We start from the raw sequence: 21880 nt of genomic DNA on the forward strand, positions 1-21880 counted from the left end.
GAGTGTGGATTACGGGCCATGTATAGGCAGAGGAACTGAGGCTCAGAACAGGTGACAGGGCTGGATGGCAGGGGAACGAGACTCAAGTCCTGGTCAGTGTGACCCCAAATCCTGTGCTCATCTTAATATATCAATAGGAAACGCGGAATACTCTAAAAACCAAAGAACACTTGTGTACCAGCTACATGACTCTGGGGGAGTCATTAGCCTCTCTGGGTCTCAGTTTCCCTGCTCCACTGGAACCGAAGCTCTTATGAGGGCAGGGGTTTCTGTGTGTCTTGCTCTTCTTGTGGCCTCAGCACACAGAACAGTGTGTGGCATAGAGCAGGTGCTCAGCAAATACTTGTTACATAAAGGAAGCAGTGATTCTGTGGATGAGGGTGGCGTGTAAGGTCAGCTTGGCCTGGTCCCAACCGACACCTCCGGCCCTTCCCACGATACCCCTGCAAAATGCTCAGTGCGGCTCCTCCCCTACCACCCTCCTCTGCTTCCTCATCTTTGGGCCTTATCCCTGTCCGCAGCCCCTCCTCCCTGCCTCCCCCTCCCTGTCTCCCTGCTCCCACGCCTTGTTCTTCTTCACAGAAACTTTCATGCCTGGGAGTGGGGCGAGAACTCTCTCTTCTCTGATCTTTTATAGCATTTCAGAGATCACATAGGTTTCTCCATAGACCAGGTGCTGGCCCAACCACAGCCTGTGGCCACATCAGGCTTCAATTGCTTCTTGTAAGTAAAGTTTTATTTGAATACAGTCATATTCATTTGTGTGTATCCATGGCCGTTTTCACATATTATATAGCAAAGTTGAATCATTGCGACAGAAGTCATCTAACTTGCAAGGCCTGAAATATGTAATCTGGCCTCTTACAGAAATTTGCTGACCCCCGTCATAGATTAAGTACAGGCTATGAGACTTTACATGTATTATTTTGTCACATTTTCACAACAACCCTACAGGAGCTTGGGGACTACTGTTCTGCCCATTTTATGGATGTGGAAATTGAAGCCCAAAGATGATGGCACTTGCCCAAGGTCATGCAACCAGTAGGCAGCAGGGCCAGGATTTGAATCCACCATGCCATGTCCCCACATTCTGCAACAGATTCTATTGCAAACACAACAGGACTAGCTTGCACAATGCAAGTAGATTCCACAAGTGCAAGAGAAGAGAAGTTCTGAAGATGAGGGTAAATGGGGCCAGAGGAGCCCCACAAGGCTCTGGGAAGAGGCAGAATCTGAGCTGAGTCATTCAGGGAGAGGAGATTTAGCTGGATGGTGGGGATGGTAAGATGAGAGATCTGGAAGAGCCCACAAAGGAAATCCAGAAGGGTTGGCCAGAGAACTGGGGCAAGGCAGGGGCACGAGCCAGCCGGGGAGCGCTGGCCCACAGCCACAGTGATGAGGAACTGCAGAAAGACTCCAAAAATGATGTTTGTGGGCGATTCATCCACAGGGTCCCAAGAGGCTGCCAAGTCCACAGGCAGGAGGAGAAGGGAAATGCTGCAGAAAATTCCTCACTAGGCATCGCAAGGAATTCTGAATTCCCTAAAAAGGACATAAGTGAAAGTGCATAGCTTTTTGTAGGGCTGGTTAGAAACAAGGTCTTCCCTATAGCCAAAATGTTGGAAAAAACTCCTCCAAGGGCACAATCCATCTGACCCTGGTCAAGTGATTTAACTTTCTGAGCCTCAATTTCCTCATCTGTAAAACGGGGAGCATCATGGGCTTGTGTGAGGGTTGAAGGCATTGATATTTGCAAAGCAGATCGAACAGTGCCTGGCACAGAGTAAGTGCTAGAGAAGGATTTGTTAGGTAAACACAGAGCACAAATAAGATCCAAGTTCAGCAAATATCAGCTCCCAACTTTTTCGCCCCAAATGATTCCCACACTGGTCGGAATTTGCTGGGCGCACAATGTGGTTAATTTTAACACTGAGGCAGAGAGGTGAGCCTGAACCGCATTTCAATGAACACAAATCTTATTTTTAACGAGACATACTTTGGCGCTTGCAAGAACATTTAAAAATACCTTCCCTGTTCCAAAGCAGCATTGTGTGGCAGCCAGGTCCAGGGAGAAATCCTTAGTTTTGGGGTCGTTGTTTCTTGGGGGGACCGGGGATCTGGGCGTGTTGGCCAGAATTGCTGCAGGGGCTGCTGAGGGTATCCGTGGCTGAGAGTTGGAGACAGACCTTGCAAGTTGTTGATTCAACCCCCAAGTTGACGGCCATTGTTCTGTCTGGTTCTCTCTGGACTGAGGGTCCTCAAGGAGACATTCTACATCTTTCTTTCAACAACACACAGGGACACCTGATACCTGCCTGCACTGTGCCCATCCAGGGATGGACTCTCGGACTGACGTTCCAGTGGGGAGACAGATGATGAACACAGAGATGAATAAACTATCGAGATCATTGCAGAATTATATGTGCTTTGGAGAAAATTAAATAAGTGGGGTAGAGAGAATCCTGCACGTGTGGTTGGGGCAGAAGGTCTGCAGTTGGGCAGTGAGGGCCTCTCCTCAGAGAAGGTGATGTTTGAGCTGAGAATGGAATGAGAGGGAGGAGCCAGTAAGATCTGGGAAGTGTGCTGGAGGCAGAGGGAACGGTAAGTGTAGAGTCCCAGAGGGGGCTGAGCCTGGTGATCTAAGAGAAGGGCAGGGCCCTGGATTGTGATGGGCTACCAGAGGACTGTCTGGGAGTCAGAGGGAGAAAGAGGCAGGTCAGACCACACAAGACACCAAGGGCAGCCACACCACATGGCTCCAGCTGGTACCATGCATTCTGCATCTACCAGCAGCATAGATTGCTTACCCTGGCAGTTCTGTCCTGGCACCGTGCTCAGCACAGAGTAGGTACTTAGTAAATGTTTAATGACTAGTCATAAAACCCAGCTGAACTTCCATGTCAGCAGCAGGCCCTCAATCTCTAATTAAAGTTTGCTTGTTTTTAAATCAGGCACCTGCTTCCTGCATTTGCTTTCTTTCAGAAGATTCTTGTGCATTTGTCATCACGACCTCGGTTTGCTCAACTGTTGGGCAAAAGGAGTACATGATATGATTTAGACTGTGCAGCATCTTGAAGCCCTTGCAAAGAGGCTGTGATATCTTGGCTCTGACACCTAGAAGTCCCGTGGCTTGGAAGGATTGCATTCTGTGTGATGCTTGCAGTTGCAGTGAAATGTTGATGTCCAAGTGTTTAGGGAACAACAAAAACAAGAGAGCCTGCCCATGAACACATTATTTCTTTCAGTACTTCCCCAACTCCCAATAAAGTGCCTGTGGAGTATTCCACCTAGCTTGCACTATATCCAAACAGTGCCTTATAAAGGAAAAGCTGGTTCCTTGACCCTAAGCCCTGTTTGTCCTAGCCTGAGCAGGTATAGATCCTTTACCTGGGACCTCTCTCACTCACCCAGTGGGAGAGTGCTGGGATCTTAGGATCCGTGCCCTGATTGCATATTTCATTCAGGAATCTCTCATTTGAGGTGGCTGACTGCAAAAGATGCAAGTTGTTTTAAATATACTTCATGAACGTAGGACAACTTTGCAAGTGTGATCCATTTAATCCCTGCTGTGAGGGAATTAATGACTCCCAATTTACAGATGAGGAAAGTGAGGCCTTAGGATGTCATGGGATGAACAGGATGTCTCTGGTGGGTTCGGACTGACCTGGGTCTTCTGACTGCCGGTTGCACCCTGTTTCCCACTGCAAGGGGCCAATACAAATGCAAAAGCTCAGTGTCTTGTCATGGGGCTGGGAGAGAGTTACATGGGACACTGATCTCCCGCCATCAGAAACAACTCAGCAAATACTGGAAAGCAAACAAAGCAGCTGTGCCCAGGACCCTGACAGCAGCTCCTTGGCAAATTCAAGGCAGTAATCGCTGGCCAGGTGCCTGCTGCTTGCTGGGCCCTAGGAACATCGTGGCAAGCAAGGCAGACACAGCCGCTGCCCTCCTGCAAGGGACAGTCTGAAGGGATGGTGGTTATTAAGCCAAAGAAACTTGCGAGGAAGAGAGCTTTCCGCTTGGACTTGAGGCAGAGCAGGAGCTGCCCAGGTGGAGATGGGGTGGGAGGGGGCAGAGGCAGGGGCTGCGGGAAAGCTCAGGGAAGGCAAGAACACAGAGGAGGGAGGCAGAGGCCAGCTTGGCAGGAATGGGGACCAGGAGAACAGGCAGGGGATGAGGCTATGGAGGCATTTCCTGCAAGGCAGCGGGAACACCTGGAGTCCAGCTAATCCCCTGGGACATGAAGTTTGAGTTCAGAGAGGGCTTTACCTTGGGAACTTTCTTGTTCCCTTCCTGGTGGCCTGACCCAGCCCACAAGTGTCCCCACACAACCATGGAGGCTCTACAGGTGCCACCCTGGATCTCTGTAGGTGCATCCTCACACCCATGGGCGCTTCTGTACCTGGTGGTGAACTGCATGTACTGGAGAAGCACAGGTCACAGTCCCGAATGTCCACAGAGCTGAGCTGCCCGCTCTTTCCAGAGGGAAAGGGACATTTTGCTCGTGACTGATATTCACGTAATATCCTCCCAGCCACTGCTTGCAGAAGCTGCATTCCCTGAACTTCCTGCCTTAACTCCTTAATTATTTTCCACTTCTGAGCAATGCTAAGGACCTAACTTCCCACTCCACCACTTCCCAGCACTCATTCCTGATTCCACACACAAATACCCACCTGCTTACTCGTGTCACTGTGGGATATCTAACAGGCATCCCAAGCATAACACAATTTCACCTGGTTTAGCCTTTTCTTCCTCTGGGTTTCCCACTTTAGCAAATGGCCACTATCTTCCCAGTTGTTGAGACAAAATCCAGGAAGCTCTCTTAGACCCCTCTGTTTCTGCATGCCTTGCACCCATCCACAAGTCTTGCTGGTGCTGTCTCCAAATAGATCCTGAATTGGATCTCTTCCTCCTCCTCCCCTGCCACACCCAGGTCCAAGCTGCCATCACCTCTGGTCTGGATGCCGGCAACTCTCTCTGGCTCACACACCTGCCCTGCTGTAGCCTGGATCCCACAGAGCAGCCAGATGGATCATTCCAAAGCACAGGTCACGCCACACCTCTGATCAAACTTCTCCAATGGTTTGCACTGTAATTAAGATCCAGTGAGAGGCCGGGCAGGGTGGCTCACACCTATAATCCCAGCTTTGGGAGGCCGAGGCTGGAGGATCACGAGGTCAGGAGATCGAGACCATCCTGGCTAACCAGGTGAAACCCCATCTCTACTAAAAATACAAAAAGTTAGCTGGGTGTGATGGTGGGCGCCTGTAGTCCCAGCTACTCAGAGGCTGAGGCAGGAGAATGGCGTGAACCCGGGAGGCGGAACTTGCAGTGAGCCAAGATCATGCCACTGCACTCCAGCCTGGGCGACAGAGCGAGACTCCGTCTGAAAAAAAAAAAAAAAAAAAAAAAAGATCCAGTGAGAGCTCCATTCGCTGACCTGCAAGACCCGACTCTACCCATCTCTGCAGCTTCTCCTGTGCCTCACCTTCCCTAGTCACTCTCTCTACTGGCCTTCTTTCTGTCTCACCAACATGCAAGTTTGTTCCTGCTTGGGGCCTCTGCACTCACCATTCCCTCTACCTGAAACATGTTCCCTGAGATGTGTGTCTACCTCCCTCTGTGATTCAGAGCTCAGCTCCAGGGCTCCTCTGCCAAAGGCTTTCCCTTACCTCCCTCCCTAATGCTTTTCCCCTCGTCATTTTCCATCACATCACACTGTTTGGTAGTGCCCTCAAAACTAACTTCTCTATTTGCTTTCGTGTTCCCTCTGTTCTGTCACTAGAATATAAGCTACATGAGAACCTAGACTCTCCAAACTCTCTGTTTAACCATGGGCTATCTCCTATCTCCAATCTAGAACCTTGCCTGGCAAATAGTAGGTTTTCAATAACAGTTTCTGACATACTGACTTTCTCCCTGCCTTTGCCCAGCCTGTGTGTTCCATCCTATAGTGCTGTCCCCTTAGTGGTCATTTTTATTAGTCAAAGATATTTTTAGAGGAGATAAATAGTGGTATTTGTTTACTTCTGACCGAAGCCATGATGTCATCATTTTTACCCAGTTATGTCCTTGCTCTGTCATGATTGAAAAAAGTGGCATTGGAGACTCCATTGTCCCACATCTGTAACCTGGGGCCCTTAGCTCAAGTCATCAGCAAGGATGAGAGAAGGATGCTGGGAGCAGAGGAGAGGAGAAAGGAAGGGGACCCTGCCAGCACCTGAGGTGCCAGGCTCCAGGCCAGGAGCTTTCCTTGGGTCATCTCATCTGAGTCTCCATCATCCCAAGAGGCAGATCTTACTTTTGCCGTTTTGCAGATGAGCAAACTGAGGCTCAGAAGTTTAAACAACCTTCCCAAAGTCACACAGCTTGGAAGTGGTAGAGACAGAAAGAAGGCCAGTAGAGAGAGTGACTAGGGATGTGAGGCAGAGGAGAAGTGATGGGATTTGGCACTAGTCTGTCTCCCCAGGGGGAGAACCTCTGAGGTTCCTCGAGAGAATCTTTGCTTTTACCCCTGAGGATCTCATCTTTAAATGGATGTGCATCCTTCTGGCCCCTTCTCAGAAGGAGGCACAGCTTAGAAACATGCCACCAGCCTCTCCTCAGAGGGGTGAGAGGGAGCATCTGGATGGATTGCATTTCCAAAGCAAGAACTCCTGCCATTCCTCAAAGCTTGATGGAGACCTTCCAGAGAAGGTGGTGCACATTTTGCTTAAACACATGTGGCATCCAGACTGAGTCCCTTTGTCACACCCCACTGCCCAGCTCTGCTCCGGTCCCTGCTCACATGGCACCTCCTCAGTGGGCTCTCCCCTGGCCAGCTACACAGTCCTCCCCATCTCTGCCTCACATCTCGCCCTGACCTTGAGTGAGTTTACCTCACACACTTAGCACCACCAGATAATCTATTGTGTTATAAATATCATAGCCTGTAATCCCAGTACTTTGGGATGCCAAGGCAGGTAGGTTGCTTGAGTCCAGGAGTTAGAGATCAACCTGGGCAACACGGCAAAACCCCATAGCTACAAAAAAACAAAAACAAAACAAAAAATTAGCTGTGTGTGGTGGCACATATCTGTAGTCCCAGCTACTAAGGAGCCTGAGGTGGGAGAACCAGCTGAGCCCAGGAGGTCCAGAGTGCAGTGAGCCGTGATCATACCCCTGCACTCCAGCCTGGGTGACAAAATGAGACCCTGTCTCAATATATATGTATATATGTCTCAATATATATGTATATATATAAAGAGACAGGGTTGTTTAGTTGTTTTATTTAATTAATTTATTTTTATTTATTTATTTTTTGAAACAGAATCTCACACTGTCACCCAGGCTGGAGTGCAGTGGTTCGATCTTGAACCTTTGCCTCCCTGGTTCAAGTGAATCTCCTGCCTCAGCCTCCTGAGTAGCTGGGATTACAGGTGCATGCCACCACACCCAGCTAATTTTTGTATTTTTAGTAGAGAGAGGGTCTCACCATGTTGGCCAGGCTGATCTCGAACACTTGACCTCAAGTGATCTACCTGCCTTGGCCTTCCAAAGTGCAGGGATTACAGGCATGAGCCACCGCGCTGGGCCTAGTTTAATTCTTCATTGTCTTCTTTTGCTAGAACATAAGCTCCAAGAAAGCAAGTGTTTCTGGTTTTTTTGTTTGTTTGTTTGTTTGTTTGTTTGTTTCTCACTGTCATGCTCTTAGTGCGTAGAAACAAGGCTGGCAAATAGCCAGAGATCAATAATATTGGTTAAGTGAATGAATTTGGTTGCTGTATATACTCAGTTCACATTTTATGTCTTCCTAATGTTATTCTGAGTTTTCCTCCTTTAAATAAAAGTTTTATTATATAAGCAATACAAATCCATAGTGAGAATTTTTAAAAAAGAGGAAAATAAGAACCTTCAGCAATTTCCCCGTGCCACTAGTACACTGAGGAGTATTCTCTCGTGGATTTTACTTATTCATGGATAGAATGTATTTTTGCAAATTCATTCATTCAAATATTAGTTATCACATGTTCACCGTATTTCAGGTGCTGTGCTCAGCACTGGGATCTTACTGTGCAGTTGACATTTAGGGCTAGAAAATTCTTGATATGGGGCTGCCCTGTGCGTTGGCCTTTACTCGCTGGATGCCAGCAGCACCTCTCTAGTCATGATGGTCAAATGTCTCTAGACATTGCCAAATGTCCCTAGGGGTAAGGGTGGGCAAAAGTCACCTTATTGAGACTTGCTGGTCTAGAGGAGGAGAGGGAATATTTGTAAAGGATCAGTCATACTGTATGCTGTCTTGAGTGCCCAGCAGTGGGCACTCACCAATATTTGTGAACCCCTTCCACATCCCTAGATGCCTTCTGATGGCAACCTGGTCCACAATTCACAGCAGCAGTTCCACGGCCGGGCACTGAGGCCATACACCTGACTCTGCTTCAAAGGCAAAAACAAGAGCACATCACCTCCTCTGCCTATCTCTGGGCCGGCATCATCCAGCCTGACTCCACCAGTATCCACCAGAATGGAGGGAAGCATGGATCTCTGGAGGAAAGGATCTCAACCCACGTATCTCTCACCCAGCACCCACTCAGCACTTCCTCTGGGGCTCCCTTGCTGAGTGATTGACGGGCACTATTTCACGGAGTCTCTACCACAATCTTAAGAGGTAGAGATGCTTTTTATGCCCATTTTTACAGACGAAGAAAGTGTGGCTCAGAGAGGTTAAGTGACTGGAAATTCAAGAAGAAAAGAACTAGAAATAGATCCAACTGGAAATAGCCTCCCTTTTATATTTAAGTCCATCTGGATTCAAAGAGAGTTGTCTGCGGCTGGCAGTGCTGCGTGAGCCTGTGTGTTAGATATTAGGAGGAATCTGGGGCTGGTATCAAGGTTCCCAGATCCCGACATCTTTTAAGGGCATAAACTGGGCGGGCGGCAAGAAGGGGACAAAGTTCACACACCTGGGTAGGGATGCATCTGACTCTGGGACTCCAGTCACTGGGAGGACCTGGACCTGTAGGTGGGGATGGGTCAGGGTGGGCCTCCTTTGAGATCTTGCTGGCAGAGCAACACATGGCCTGGTCCTCCTGAACTCCAGCCACTCCCATTTGCCCATCCCCACTCTAGGGGATAAATGGAGTGGCCCAGAGAGGCTGTCAGAGTCCTAGAAGGCTAGAGACCCACTATAGGATTTGGTCTCTCTACAGGCTTGCTCATTAGTAAGTTCATTAGTAAACTTTTGTTGAGTGTTTCCCAGGCCTGGAGATATAGAGATGACTAAGGTACAGCCCCAAAGAGGGCTTACAGACCACCAGAGGAGACAGGGTAGAAATGGTTGTGCTGAGAAGCGTGTTAGAACACTGGAAGAGATGAGCCTGTTGCCAAACGCAGTTCCGCTGCGATGCAAGTATATGTTAATGCTGTCCCTGAAGAATGGCGCTGTGGGACAGGGTCTGCTTTGGATCAGGCAATCAAGTTTCCAAACACAGGACCAGCCCTTGTCCCACAGGATCTCAGAAACTCTTGTGGGCCTCAGTTTTCCAAATGGGATCATAGACCCAGCCCTTGATGAAATCATGTGCAAAGAGCACTTAGTTCAGTGCCCAGCACTTGTGAGGTACTTAGTAAAGTTCCTAACACCTGTCAGAATGGCTAAAGTAATAATGAGAACGAATAAACACTGCCAACAATCCCAAGTGTGGGTGAGGATGTGGAACCACTGGAGCTCTCATCTGCTGCTGGTGGGAAAGTAAAATCGCAATGCCTACTCTGAAAAAGAGTTTGTGCAGTTTCTTATAAGGTGTGACATAAACCTACCACATAATTCAGCAACCCCACCCCTAGGCATTTACCCAAAAGAAACAAAAACTTATTTCAAACAAAAAAATAAAGTGTCTCTATTCATCATTTCCCCAAACTGAAAACAATCCTAATGTCTCTCAATGGACGATGAGATGAATGGATAAACTACCTCTGGTGCATCCCTCCCATGGACGCTACTCAGCAAGAAAAAGCAAGGGACTATGATACATGCAATTGGATCTCCAGCCACTGTGTTGACAGAAGGAAGGCCCAAAGCTTACATTGATATGATATGATTTTTGATATGATTCAATTTTTCAATGGTATTATGGAAAAGGCAAATCTGTAAATCAGTGGTTGCCAGGGATTTGGAGGAGGGAAAAGGGTTGACCACAAAGTGACGAGGGGTAAATTTGGGGGGTAATGGAACTGCTCTGTGCCTTGATTAGGGTGGTAGTTATACAACTGTATGCATTTGTCAGAATTCACAGACCTGTACGCTAAAAGTATGTTTTACTGTATGAAAATTATTTCTTAATTTTAAAAAATAGAACAAAAGCCTTCTAGAGTGTCCTTCAGCCTCGCTGAAGGCTCCAGGGCCACCTCCTGGGCCATTTCTTCCTCCTGTGGGTTGCCTAGGGCTGGCAGGTGCCTGCCTCCCCTGCATGACAGCCCAGCCTTTCCCCTCCAATGTGAAGAAAGAGGCACAGCTGCTCTTGGATTCACTCTGCGTCGTTCTTAGTGGAAGACTGCTCTCAGTGGCCACCCAGGGCCATGGGAGCAATGGATTTCTGTGGGTTCTCCTGCCCCAAGGCACTCTCCCTGCCTAATAAAACCCTTGAAGAGGAAGGAGGCCAGTTGTGCTCACAACATCAGCGTGGAGGAAGAGCCTGAAGCATGTGCACCCGTGCATGTGCCTTCAAGACTTGGGAACTGAGGACCAAGTTTCAAAGGCCAGCTGTTCATGTCCACTGACACAAGGCTCAGCTCCTGGGCTCCCTGACCTCCTAGTCCCCACACTTTACAAGCTGGGGAGTGGTGACACCAGGTGAGGACTTCCTACTGAAGGCTCCAAAGCACCTTCTTGTCCCCGTGCCCTGTCCCTGTAGGTATGTGAGCTTATAACTCCTGGTCTACATGCGCTTTATCTCAGCAATCCCCTGCTTGCCTACAACTGGAATAACTACAGTGCTGGTGACCCCTAAGTCAACTCACCCTTCTGAGAGGAAGATGTCTTGGATTTTCCACCATGAATGGCCCTCCCCAGTAGACGTCCCTGAGGCACTGTAAACAGGTCTTCTGTGAATGTGTAATTGACTCATTAGTCCATGCAGGCACTGGGGATTCAGTGCAGTGCACACACAGCCCCCTTCACTTGCATGTTCCACAACGCACTCTGTGGGCCTCCTCAAGTGGACTTGCCCTCATCAATCTGTCCTCCATACAGCAGGCACCAACCCCATGCTCAAAACTCTCCAATGGTCCTGCTGATTTAATGATCAGGTTCAAACACACTAGCTGACCCCCATGGCCTCTGAGGCCAGAGGTCACTGAGAGCAAAGCCTTGCACAGAGCTCACCACTGTGGCGCCCTGCTCTCTCCCCCTCAAATCACCCCTCATGCTCCTCTCCACTGGATCACTCAGTGGATCCATGGATCCACCACTTCCAAGCATGGCATGTGCTCACCTGTCTTAAAAACACGCCTTTCCTTGATCTCAGCTTCTCTTATTGCTCAATTTCTGTTTTCCTCAATGGCTGTAATCCTCTCCTATAATGCTTGCTTCAAAAGGGATGAATAACTATAATGCCAAGAATTCTAACAGCCTCGATGGTTCAAGTTTGGAAAGCACTTTATAACACCAAATTGGTCCGATCCCAGACGAGGGAGCTTAGGCTTGCACTGCTGAAGGCCATTTAAGTAGTGCCATAGAAATCCATGTTTCCTGACCTTCAATTCCTGACCTTCAATTCCAGGGCATCTTCATCAGCCAGGGATCAGGGCAGACCACAGGGACTGAGACAAGATACCCAAAGGTAAGGGGCATCTAGAATTAATAGGGGTCAAGTTCTAGAAGGTGGGTGTGCATGCAGAGGCCAAATTTGAGCAGGAAGCAGATCAGAGGACCTCAAGGTGGAGAAGGAGATCTGAGGCCTGCACTGGTCCAGGGCTCAACCATGTGGAAGGTTGGGAAGAAGAAGGAACTCACAGATATGGAGAACAGCCATGGTAAGGACTTGATCCTTCTCTTCCTGCATCTTCCTAGTGCTTTCAGTATCTCTATCATCCCTGATTTTCAGCTTAGGAGGCCAGGACTAAGAGAGGTGAATACTTAATAGTATTGAGTGAATACTCAATAGAGGCAAATAATACAAAAAGAAGGGAAGTGGATGGCAGAGAGATTTGACAAGATTTTTTCAATATGTTTGAAATTATGTATAATTATAAGTCAAACATAAATAAAGTCACTCACCTATGTGGTGGAGCAGGGATCAGAGGCCAAGCCTGGGGGACTCCCACACCCATGGCCCTTCCTCTCTGCCCCACAGAGACTCTGCCCATCCCAGGTTTGTGCTTTTCTGTTGGAAAAGTTCCAGGCATGCAAAGGCCCAGAATGTCCTTCTTATTTCCCCTTGAAAATGGAAACTTGAGTAATAAACCTTGCAGACATTTTTTTTCCTCCCATATCTCCAGGGCCTTGTCCCTTCTAAGAATGGATCTTTGTCTTGTAATCATGAACATGAAACACCCACGGCCACACCACTTCCACCTCTCCTGAGAGTGATGGTGCTCCCACAGTGGCCCTGTCTGCTCAACCCAAACACAAGTTAGTTTTCATTTCATTTCCCACTGCCACCCTGGAATATGACTGTTTGCTTCCATTTACTGTCCCCTCTCCCAACTTTTTTTGGGACAGGATCTAGCTCTGTTGCCCAGGCTGGAGTGCAGTGGCACAATCATGGCTCACTGCAGCCTCGACCTCCTGGGCTCAATCAATCCTCCCACCTCAGCCTCCTGAGTAGCTGGGACTACAGGTATGCACCACCACCACGCCTGGCTAATTTTTGTAATTTTTGTAGAGATGAGGTTTTTCCATGTTGCCCAGACTTGTCCCAAACTTCTGGGCTCAAGCAATCCACCTGCCTTGACCTCCCAAAGTGCTGGGAATACAGGCGTGAACCACCACGCCCAGCCCATTTGCTATCTCTTCTAATGGGTCTCAGGGAAGCATCATAAACCTGCTATCAGGTTAGAGATGGATTTCAAATTCAATTCTATTTTTAAAAGAAAATGAAAGGGAAGGTCACCTGAAAAATAAATCAAAATCCATAAGTCTCCATTGGGCACTTACTAAATTCTAGTTCTTAAACCCTACTAAGTCTGCAGTATTAGCCCAATTTCACAGATGAAAAACTGAGTCTTAGGGTGGTTAAGTCATTCACAGCCATGAGAAAACAGAGCTGGAATTTGAACTAGGTTTGAGGGACTCCAGAGTCCATGCTCTCATTACCAATACCCCGGCCTAGAACAGGCTGTCTCTGAGAGTTGACTGTCTGTGCAGAAACATGTCTATTTGATTCCCTACTTAACAAATGGTGCTGGGAAAACTGGCTAGCCATATGTAGAAAGCTGAAACTGGATCCCTTCCTTACACCTTATACAAAAATTAATTCAAGATGGATTAAAGACTTAAATGTTAGACCTAAAACCATAAAAACCCTAGAAGAAAACCTAGGCAATACCATTCAGGACATAGGCATGGGCAAGGACTTCATGTCTAAAACTCCAAAAGCAATGGCAACAAAAGCCAAAATTGACAAATGGGATCTAATTAAACTAAAGAACTTCTGCACAGCAAAAGAAACTACCGTCAGAGTGAACAGGCAACCTACAGAATGGGAGAAAATTTTTGCAATCTACTCATCTGACAAAGGGCTAATACCCAGAATCTACAAAGAACTCAAACAAATTTACAAGAAAAAAAACCAAACAACTCCATCAACAAGTGGGCGGAGGATATGAACAGACACTTCTCAAAAGAAGACATTTATGCAGCCAACAGACACATGAAAAAATGCTCATCATCACTGGCCATCAGAGAAATGCAAATCAAAACCACAATGAGATACCATCTCACACCAGTTAGAATGGCGTTCATTAAAAAGTCAGGAAACAACAGATGCTGGAGAGGATGTGGAGAAATAGGAACACTTTTACACTGTTGGTGGGAGTGTAAACTGGTTCAACCATTGTGGAAGACAGTGTGGTGATTCCTCAGGGATCTAGAACTAGAAATACCATTTGACCCAGCCATCCCATTACTGGGTATATACCCAAAAGATTATAAATCATGCTGCTCTAAAGACACATGCACACTTACATTTATTGTGGCACTATTCACAATAGCAAAGACTTGGAACCAACCCAAATGCCCAAAAATGATAGGCTGGATTAAGAAAACGTGGCACATATACACCATGGAATACTATGCAGCCATAAAAAATGATGAGTTCATGTCCTTTGTAGGGACATGGATGAAGCTGGAAACCATCATTCCCAGCAAACTATCGCAAGGACAAAAAACCAAACATTGCATGTTCTCACTCACAGGTGGGAATTGAACAATGAGAACACTTGGACACAGGAAGGGGGACATCACACACCGGGGCCTGTTGTGGGGTGGGGGGAGGGGGGAGGGATAGCATTAGGCGATATACCTAATGTAAATGACGAGTTAATGGGTGCAGCACACCAACATGGCACATGTATACATATGTAACAAACCTGCACGTTGTGCACATGTACCCTAGAACTTAAAGTATAATAATAATAATAATAATAATAATAATAAAAGAAACACGTCTATTTAATTAGCATCTATATTTGTCTGGCATTTTATTAGATTACTTCAATTTTTTAGCTCATTAATCCACACAGGCAAAAAGAAAGAGGTATCATCACCCCCATTTTATAGATGAGGAAATGGAGGCGTAAGCGGTTAAGGTCACCAGCTGGTTAGAGGTTTTAACTTAGGTCTGCCTGATATCAAATGCAGTTATTTTCCCAGATACTCACACTCAGTCCAGATGCAGCAACCACCATCAATTCGAAGACCAATGCAATCGGAGACAGACCAATTCAAAGTTAACTGCAATATTTCGGGAGCCCCCAGCTGATCAGGACCTTGGATAGCTCCAGGTGCCTCTGAGTTGATTGGCTCCAGGATGCTGACCGCAGTGCATTCCTAGATTCTCATAGGCCCACACTGGACAGATCCCTCCCACTCCAACCCGGAAGCCGTTGAAGGGCTAGCATCTGCTGCTGTAAGTGGGCCTTTAGTTACAGGACACTGTCAGATGTCTGGGGGCCTTTTGGGGAAGGAGGCGTGCTGGAGGTTCTCAGGTCATGAAGCGGGGTGTTAGTCTTCTTAGATATTCCAGTGGGCATCTCCTCTTCTAGGTGCAATCTAAGGTCCTAATTAGTAAGGTGTACCTTAGTGAAGAGTTCTCAGTGGAATAATACACGTTTCCAGCTCCATCCCACCAGTTTATAAAATAATTATTTGTGGCATTATCATTTTCCATCTTCACAACAGCCCTGTAAATAAACTATTACCCTCACGGTGCAGATAAGGAAACAGAGGCTCAAAAATAGTAGATGACCTGTCCAAAGTCACACAGCTAAGAAATCTCAGAGCTGAAACTTAAACCCTGGTGATCATTATACCAAGTTGCCACATCTCATATAAACAGACCACATTGCGCTTCCATTAAGCATATTACATTTATCTTAATTATGTTTACTTGATGCTTGGAAATTTTGTTTTGAGAGCCACCTGTAAATATGACCATACTCCATCACATTTTCAGGATTCAAACATCATTTGTTAATCGACACAAATGAAGATTGCTTAATGGAATAAAATCCAAACTCCTTTCCATAGCCTACAAGGCTCTATGTGAACTGACCCCTGCCCAGCAATCTGACCTCGTCTCTTATTGCTGTCCCCTTTGAGCACCATACTCTAGCCACATCAAGCTCCCTGCTGCTCCTCGAACCCACCACGTTCATTCCCAACTTGGCACTTTTCACTGACTGGGTCCTCTGCCTGGAATTCTCTCCTCTCAGATCTTTGTAAGCTGCCCGCTTGTCACTCAGCTCTCAGCTCAAAGGTCCCCTCTGCAGAGAGGCCCTCCCTGACTACCCAAGCTAAGTAGCCTCTGTTCACTAAACCACATCAACCTTGCTCTTTATCCTTCCCAGCACAGACGCCTGCCAGCACCTTAAAGACCCATTTAAAGCAGAAGACCCCAGCCCTTCAATGGCTTCCAGGTCGAGGTGGGAGGGATCTGTTCATGGCAAACTGAAACAACTGAGTTGATTTAGTAGTGCATTTTCTTTCTCTCCTATTTAGAACCAAAGTTCTATGAGGGCAGGGACTCTGTGGGTATGAACATCACTGTCTTTCCAGCATCATGTGCAGTGTAGACACTTAATAAATGTTTGCTGAAGGAATGAACTTCGTAACCGGTCTCATGCAGTGACCACAAATTTAATTTTGCATGTCTTCAATGTGTCTCTGATTTCTTCAAGGGAGATGCCAAGGCTTTGAAATCAAAGTTCTTAGAACATTTTTAGTAGCATGCCCCATATAACAGATGCAGAGGGAGAAGCTGTCACTGTAGAACGGTTAAGCATCACTTTAGTAGCAATCAAAAAAGCTCATATTTCTTCAAAGAGGAAAACAGAAAGTCCCAGACAGGATTGTGAATTCCTTGGCGTTTGCTCCTCCCTGGCTTAGTTTCAAAAGAGAACCAGGGTTTCCTGAAGAGGGGCTCAAATTATTCTGAAGGGCCACTTCTCTCTGTCCTTTAAGATGAAAACTCTACAGCCAGCTGCCAGCAGCAGCTCAGGGATGGGAGAAACACACAGTCAAGAAAATCTTTCCCAAACGAAGGAGGCTGCAGGGAGCCAGAGAGAGCTCTGATGTGTGTGGCTTCCCCCAGGCACACTCTCTATGAGGAATTCTTAGCAAACCAGGGCACGTGGCACACCACAGGCGAGTACGCGTGCACACACACAGGCACACGCACACGCAGGTGCACACGCACACAGGCACACACGCACACAGGCACACACCCAGACACACACAGGTGCGCACACACACAGGGCCACACACACACACACACACACAGGCACACAGGCACAGTCACACATACACGCACACACACATGCACAGGCAAACAGGTACACACAGGCACATACACACAGGCACGCACACAGGCACAGGCACACAGACATACACACACAGGCACAGGAACCTAGGCACACACACACAGAGGCACATACCCACAGGCACACACACAGACACAGGCACAGGCACACACACAGGTACACACACACAGGCACAGACACACAGACACATAGGCACACACACAGGCACACACACAGGCACAGGCACCTAGGCACACACACACAGAGGCACATACACACAGGCACAGAGGCACACACACAGGCACAGTGTCTCAGGACTTCCATCGGCCCCTTCTACAGGGAGTTGCAGGCATGGCAGGGAAGTTAGGAGGAGCCCCTAGGTTAAGAAGGAAAGAAGGAGGAAACCACGAGCAGAGCTAAAGGAGGGACGAGTAACTGGCCATCAAGCCATCCCCAAATATTTGCCAAGTGCCCCCTCACCCCTATAGCCAGCTGTGTGGCAGCTGAGTGAAATGGTTCAGAATGTCAGGTCTGGAGCCAGACTTAGTGGGTTTGAATCTCGGTTCTACCTCTTGCTAGCTGTGACCTCTGATAACTTATGGCAAAGCTCTGTGCCTCAGTTTCCACATTTGCTGAAAGAAAACAACAATAATAGTATCTATTGCATATAAGTAAACTCTACATACATTTCAGCTGCTGCAGTTTGTTTTTTATTGTTGCCATCGTCCTGAAGCCTTTGAGCCTTGGTCACCTCCTCTGTTAAATGGCCCTCAAGCTACCACCCCTCAAAAGGACATGACAAGGATTAAATTGGAAGATGACATCATCTATTGGGTAAACATCACATTTCGGGAGCCGATTTGAACAGGATGCTGGATTAAACTCCAAGTTGGGCTACTGGGGGGCAGGAACATGGACAACACAGTTTCTGCTCAAAGGCAGATATCAGGGGAAGGTAAGTGATGAGACAAACGGGAAAAGACCCCTCAGAACACAAAAGTCTCATGGGAATTCAGGGAAGGGACAGGATTCTCTGAGAGGTATTCCAGAAAGGCCTCACAAAGAAGTGAACTGAGCATAATTTGAGGTAAATGAAGCTTGCTGCAGGGGTATGTGAAGAACGTGGTAACTCCGTAGTGATTAAAAACAGGATGTAAGGGCCAGAGTCCCTGGGTTCAAATTCCAGTTTCTCTGCTTCCAAACTGTGTGCCCTTGAGCAAATGGCTTAACGTCAACTGTGCCTCAGTTTACTCACCTGTGAAGTGGAGGTAATTACAGTACTTTCATTGGTTGTTACCAAGATTAAGAAGGATGACACAAGTTATACATGTAGCCTAATGTCACAAGCTTTGTGTTCTTAAGTGACAAAATTTGGAGGGAATACAAAGAAGTGTGGCTTCTACGCCTCCCAACCATGCACGCTCCTGAGAAAAAGAGAATGCCACCCTGAGGCTACAGGGATTTAAAATGAATGACCCTCAACTTCCTCCACAACTTACTCTAGACGGCTTCTTACCTTTGAGCTTTCATCCCTGCACTCCCCACACCTACTTAAGCTCTAGGAGTATCTCTGGTTGAGTAGATCAAAGTAAACAAGGAAGCGAGCAAACACATGGAAACCTGAGTCTGCACGGAATAAATGTTTGCTGATTGACTGCATAAATGCATTTAACCAAGAGGAGGGCATTTCCAAGGTAGCTTCTCAATCCTAGAAACAACTGAGCAGGGTTGATGACCTGCATGCAGTCCCCGGCCTGGAGCACACACCAAGAGGACACAGATGTGGCACCTGTTCTCTCAGCCATGGATCTAATAAGACGTTTATTTTATCCCCTTCAGGGAAAAGCATATCTGATAACAGGTAAGTGATCCCACCTGCCCTGTGTTACTGCCCCGGCCCTCTGCCCAGGCCTGCAGTAACAATTGGCTTCAGAGAGGGACCCAGTGCCCAGGATCATATTCCATTTTCCCAGGGGGAGCGGAAGCAAGCCCTGAATCCCTGGGGCCTTAGTCCACACTCTGTGAGGCTAGCAGAGGAGACTCAAACATGTAGCTCAGGCAGCTCCCTGCCCCTGCTGAATAACCTTCAGTAGCTACCCACGGCCTTCAGAACAAAATCTGGAGGCTGGGTGTGGGTTTGACAGGTCTCCGCCTACCCCACACCCCTGGGCTTCACCTGTTTCCACTGCTTCTCGCCATTGGTTCCCAGAATTGGCCTCGCCCTCCTGAGCACTCCACCTTTGGCTCTTCTGTCCCAGGTAGACTCCTGCTCATGCTCCCGGACCCTCCTCTTCACTAGGAAGCTTTCCCCTCCCTGCAGGGGCTCCCTCCAGCCCCCACATCACCTTGTTCTCCCAGTGCACTCTAATTTAATGTCTTTCACCTGGATTGAGAGCCCCTGGAGGGCAGGCATGGCGCCAGCTTCATTTCTGTACCCTCAGCACTGTCCAGCATGGGCCCGCCACCGAATCTGACAGGGGCTCAGGGAACCTCTCCCAACTGGACAAGCTCCAGCAACGTGGAGTTCACAGTGGACTTTGACACCATGAAATTAGGTCACATTTTTAGGTGGAGTCTTTGCCCCCACGTATTACCTAAGTGTATTCATTCAACCGTGACTGAGTACGTGATCTGTGCCAGAACTGCATGAGAAAAATAAAGCCCTGTGCTCATGGAATGGAGCTCGTGTTCTATAAGGGGGTGGGGGGTGGGGCGGCAGGCAAGAATTCAAATGGATAAACAAGATCATTTTTGATGGAGGAGGAACGTAGTACGTGGGGTGGAAGGCGATTACCTGGATTCTGGAGGGCTTCTTTGAGAAGAAGACATTTGAGATAACACAGAACCAAGGGGAAGGTGGGAGAGGTAGCTTGTGCTAGGCTTTCCCACAGGCCTTTCAATTCAGAGTTTCATCTGTACCGCCTTGCTGAACAGTGCACCATTTCTGTGCAAGAAACCACCAGGTGGTAGGAGCACAGTATTGGAGAGCAGAGGGGCTGGGGCTGGTGGGGGGCCATGGGGGCCACACCCCTGCACTGCCCTCTACTAGCTCTGCCCTGAGCCCCTGCTGGGCCTGTGTAAAATCAGAAAATATCTTTCTCTTGGCCTAGGGGTTTCATTTCCCAAGTGTGTCCCCAGAAGTGCCGTTAACTGGATGCCCAAGGAGAGCTGGCACCTTACAGAGTGGATTCCTCCACACTGAGTAGTAACCCATTGCTGACTGGCAGCCAGTCACCTGCCCCCAGGCTCTGTGCCCGCCCCTTGCTCACCATTTTCTGGCTGGACAGAGTCCAGACATCGGACTTCCATCTACCCTATGTCATCTCCCCCTACCAGCCTGGAGCTGAGGGTGAGGGCAGCTTGCTCAGCCCTAGCAGCTGCATATTTAATTAAAATGGAATCACAGTTCACCCAGGAACCATGGGGTAAAACAAAAGGCCCTTTCACGGCGAGAACTGGCTCTGCTTACAGGCATTGGCCGTGGATTTACTCACAAGCCTCTGGTTTCAAACTCCAGACGGGGCTGGTGCTCTGGTTCCTAATCAGTGGGATCTGCCGCCCCCTCCCTGCCCCTGGCCCGGCAGTGCTGACTCTGGCTTGCACAGGGGCCCTCTGCCCAGTTGAGAGCCTGCCTGCAACTGTCCTGAGGGCACCTGGGGATCACTCACCTTGCTTCCCAGAAAACCAACCTTTTCCCTCCCTGCAGAGGGCTGAGTGAGGGCATGGGGAGGGAGATGAGCTGGAATGAGGGGGTTGACCATAGAAAACACATGGCGGTCAGGCAAAAGCCCAGATGAAGTGTTTGGGGCAGGGCAAGACTAAGAAGTCCCTGGGAAAGAGGTCGGGTGTATGGTTGTGACTCACCACCCAGCAACACCCCAGCTTCCAATACCTGGACATTCTCGGAGCCTACAAAACCAGGAAGCACAGGGTGCCAGCCAGGAGACCCCTGTGGGTCTGTGAGCCTACTGTGCACCAGGTCCGGCCTTGCGGGCTTGCCCTGCTGAGATCTCTCAAGAATCTCTGAGGACAGAGGGGATAGTGTGCCAAGTGTGGTAAAGGGCAGGAGAGTGGCCACTCTCTAGGCAAAAAAGAAGAAGGAGTCCCCAGAGGCCATGATTGGTGCCCAGCGTGAGCCAGGACACTCCAGGAACACTCAGAATTGGCACAGAGGAGTCCAGTTCGGTCATACCCTGAGTCCTGGGCCCATAATAAGGGGGGCAGCCACTGGCTGGTCCCTGGGACAGGCTCCAATTGTGGCTTATTCAGCCTCAACCCCCTGAGTGGAGGAATAACACGGGGAGGGAGGCCTTGCCTGAGTCAGAGGCCTTGGATCTGGCCTGGCTGTGCCCCAGGCTGGCTGTGAGAGTCTCCCCTTGCTGGGCCTCGGTTACCTCATTTATAAATGGAGGTCATAATTTGAACCCCTGATTGTGGAGGAACAGTGAGTCAGAAGGTCTCTAAGACCTGTTCAACCTAGCATTCTCTGTCTGTCTCAGTCATTTAGTACATATCTGGCTCCCAGTCTTCCCCCAGGCACCTCCTCATTAAGACTGGTGGCTCACCAGAGCCTGGCAGGGAAGGACCCCGGGGAGGGGAACGCCCAGGAGCCTGCATGTACACACAGCAGCTCACACCTGACATCAGCAAGAGCTATGGGGGAGACCCACACCTTAGAACTTGGGCAGGGCCCAAATGGAGGCCCCTGGAGTTCAGGGCTGAGGGGAGCCCCACTAGGAGCCATCCCCCAAGTCCCTTCCAGCCATGGCCCTCCTCCCTACCCTCTTTCTTATTTGTCTTCATTTCCCCCCAGCTAAGCCTGCTCTTGGGCACATAATTCATTAATATGGGATTAAAGGGATCCAGGCTGCCT

General features: G+C 48.5%; 1 protein-coding gene across 6 annotated transcripts in view, besides 2 other annotated features; it reads right to left on the reverse strand.

Annotated features, from left to right (window-relative positions):
• The window catches only part of ATP2B2 (ATPase plasma membrane Ca2+ transporting 2), a 384094-nt gene that overhangs the window by 256076 nt on the left and 106138 nt on the right, over positions 1–21880 (reverse strand). The window lies entirely within an intron of this gene.
• Positions 16964–17524: an enhancer, noted in NCBI's record as "H3K4me1 hESC enhancer chr3:10638747-10639307 (GRCh37/hg19 assembly coordinates)". NCBI's record gives its function as "activates a minimal SCP1, AML or CMV promoter by ChIP-STARR-seq in primed H9 embryonic stem cells {active_cell/tissue: H9 hESC(primed)}" and the evidence as "EXISTENCE:reporter gene assay evidence [ECO:0000049][PMID:30033119]".
• Positions 20714–21215: an enhancer, noted in NCBI's record as "H3K27ac hESC enhancer chr3:10642497-10642998 (GRCh37/hg19 assembly coordinates)". NCBI's record gives its function as "activates a minimal SCP1, AML or CMV promoter by ChIP-STARR-seq in naive H9 embryonic stem cells {active_cell/tissue: H9 hESC(naive)}" and the evidence as "EXISTENCE:reporter gene assay evidence [ECO:0000049][PMID:30033119]".

Source organism: Homo sapiens, chromosome 3 (genome assembly GCF_000001405.40).
Source record: "Homo sapiens chromosome 3, GRCh38.p14 Primary Assembly".
Lineage (NCBI taxonomy): Eukaryota > Metazoa > Chordata > Mammalia > Primates > Hominidae > Homo > Homo sapiens.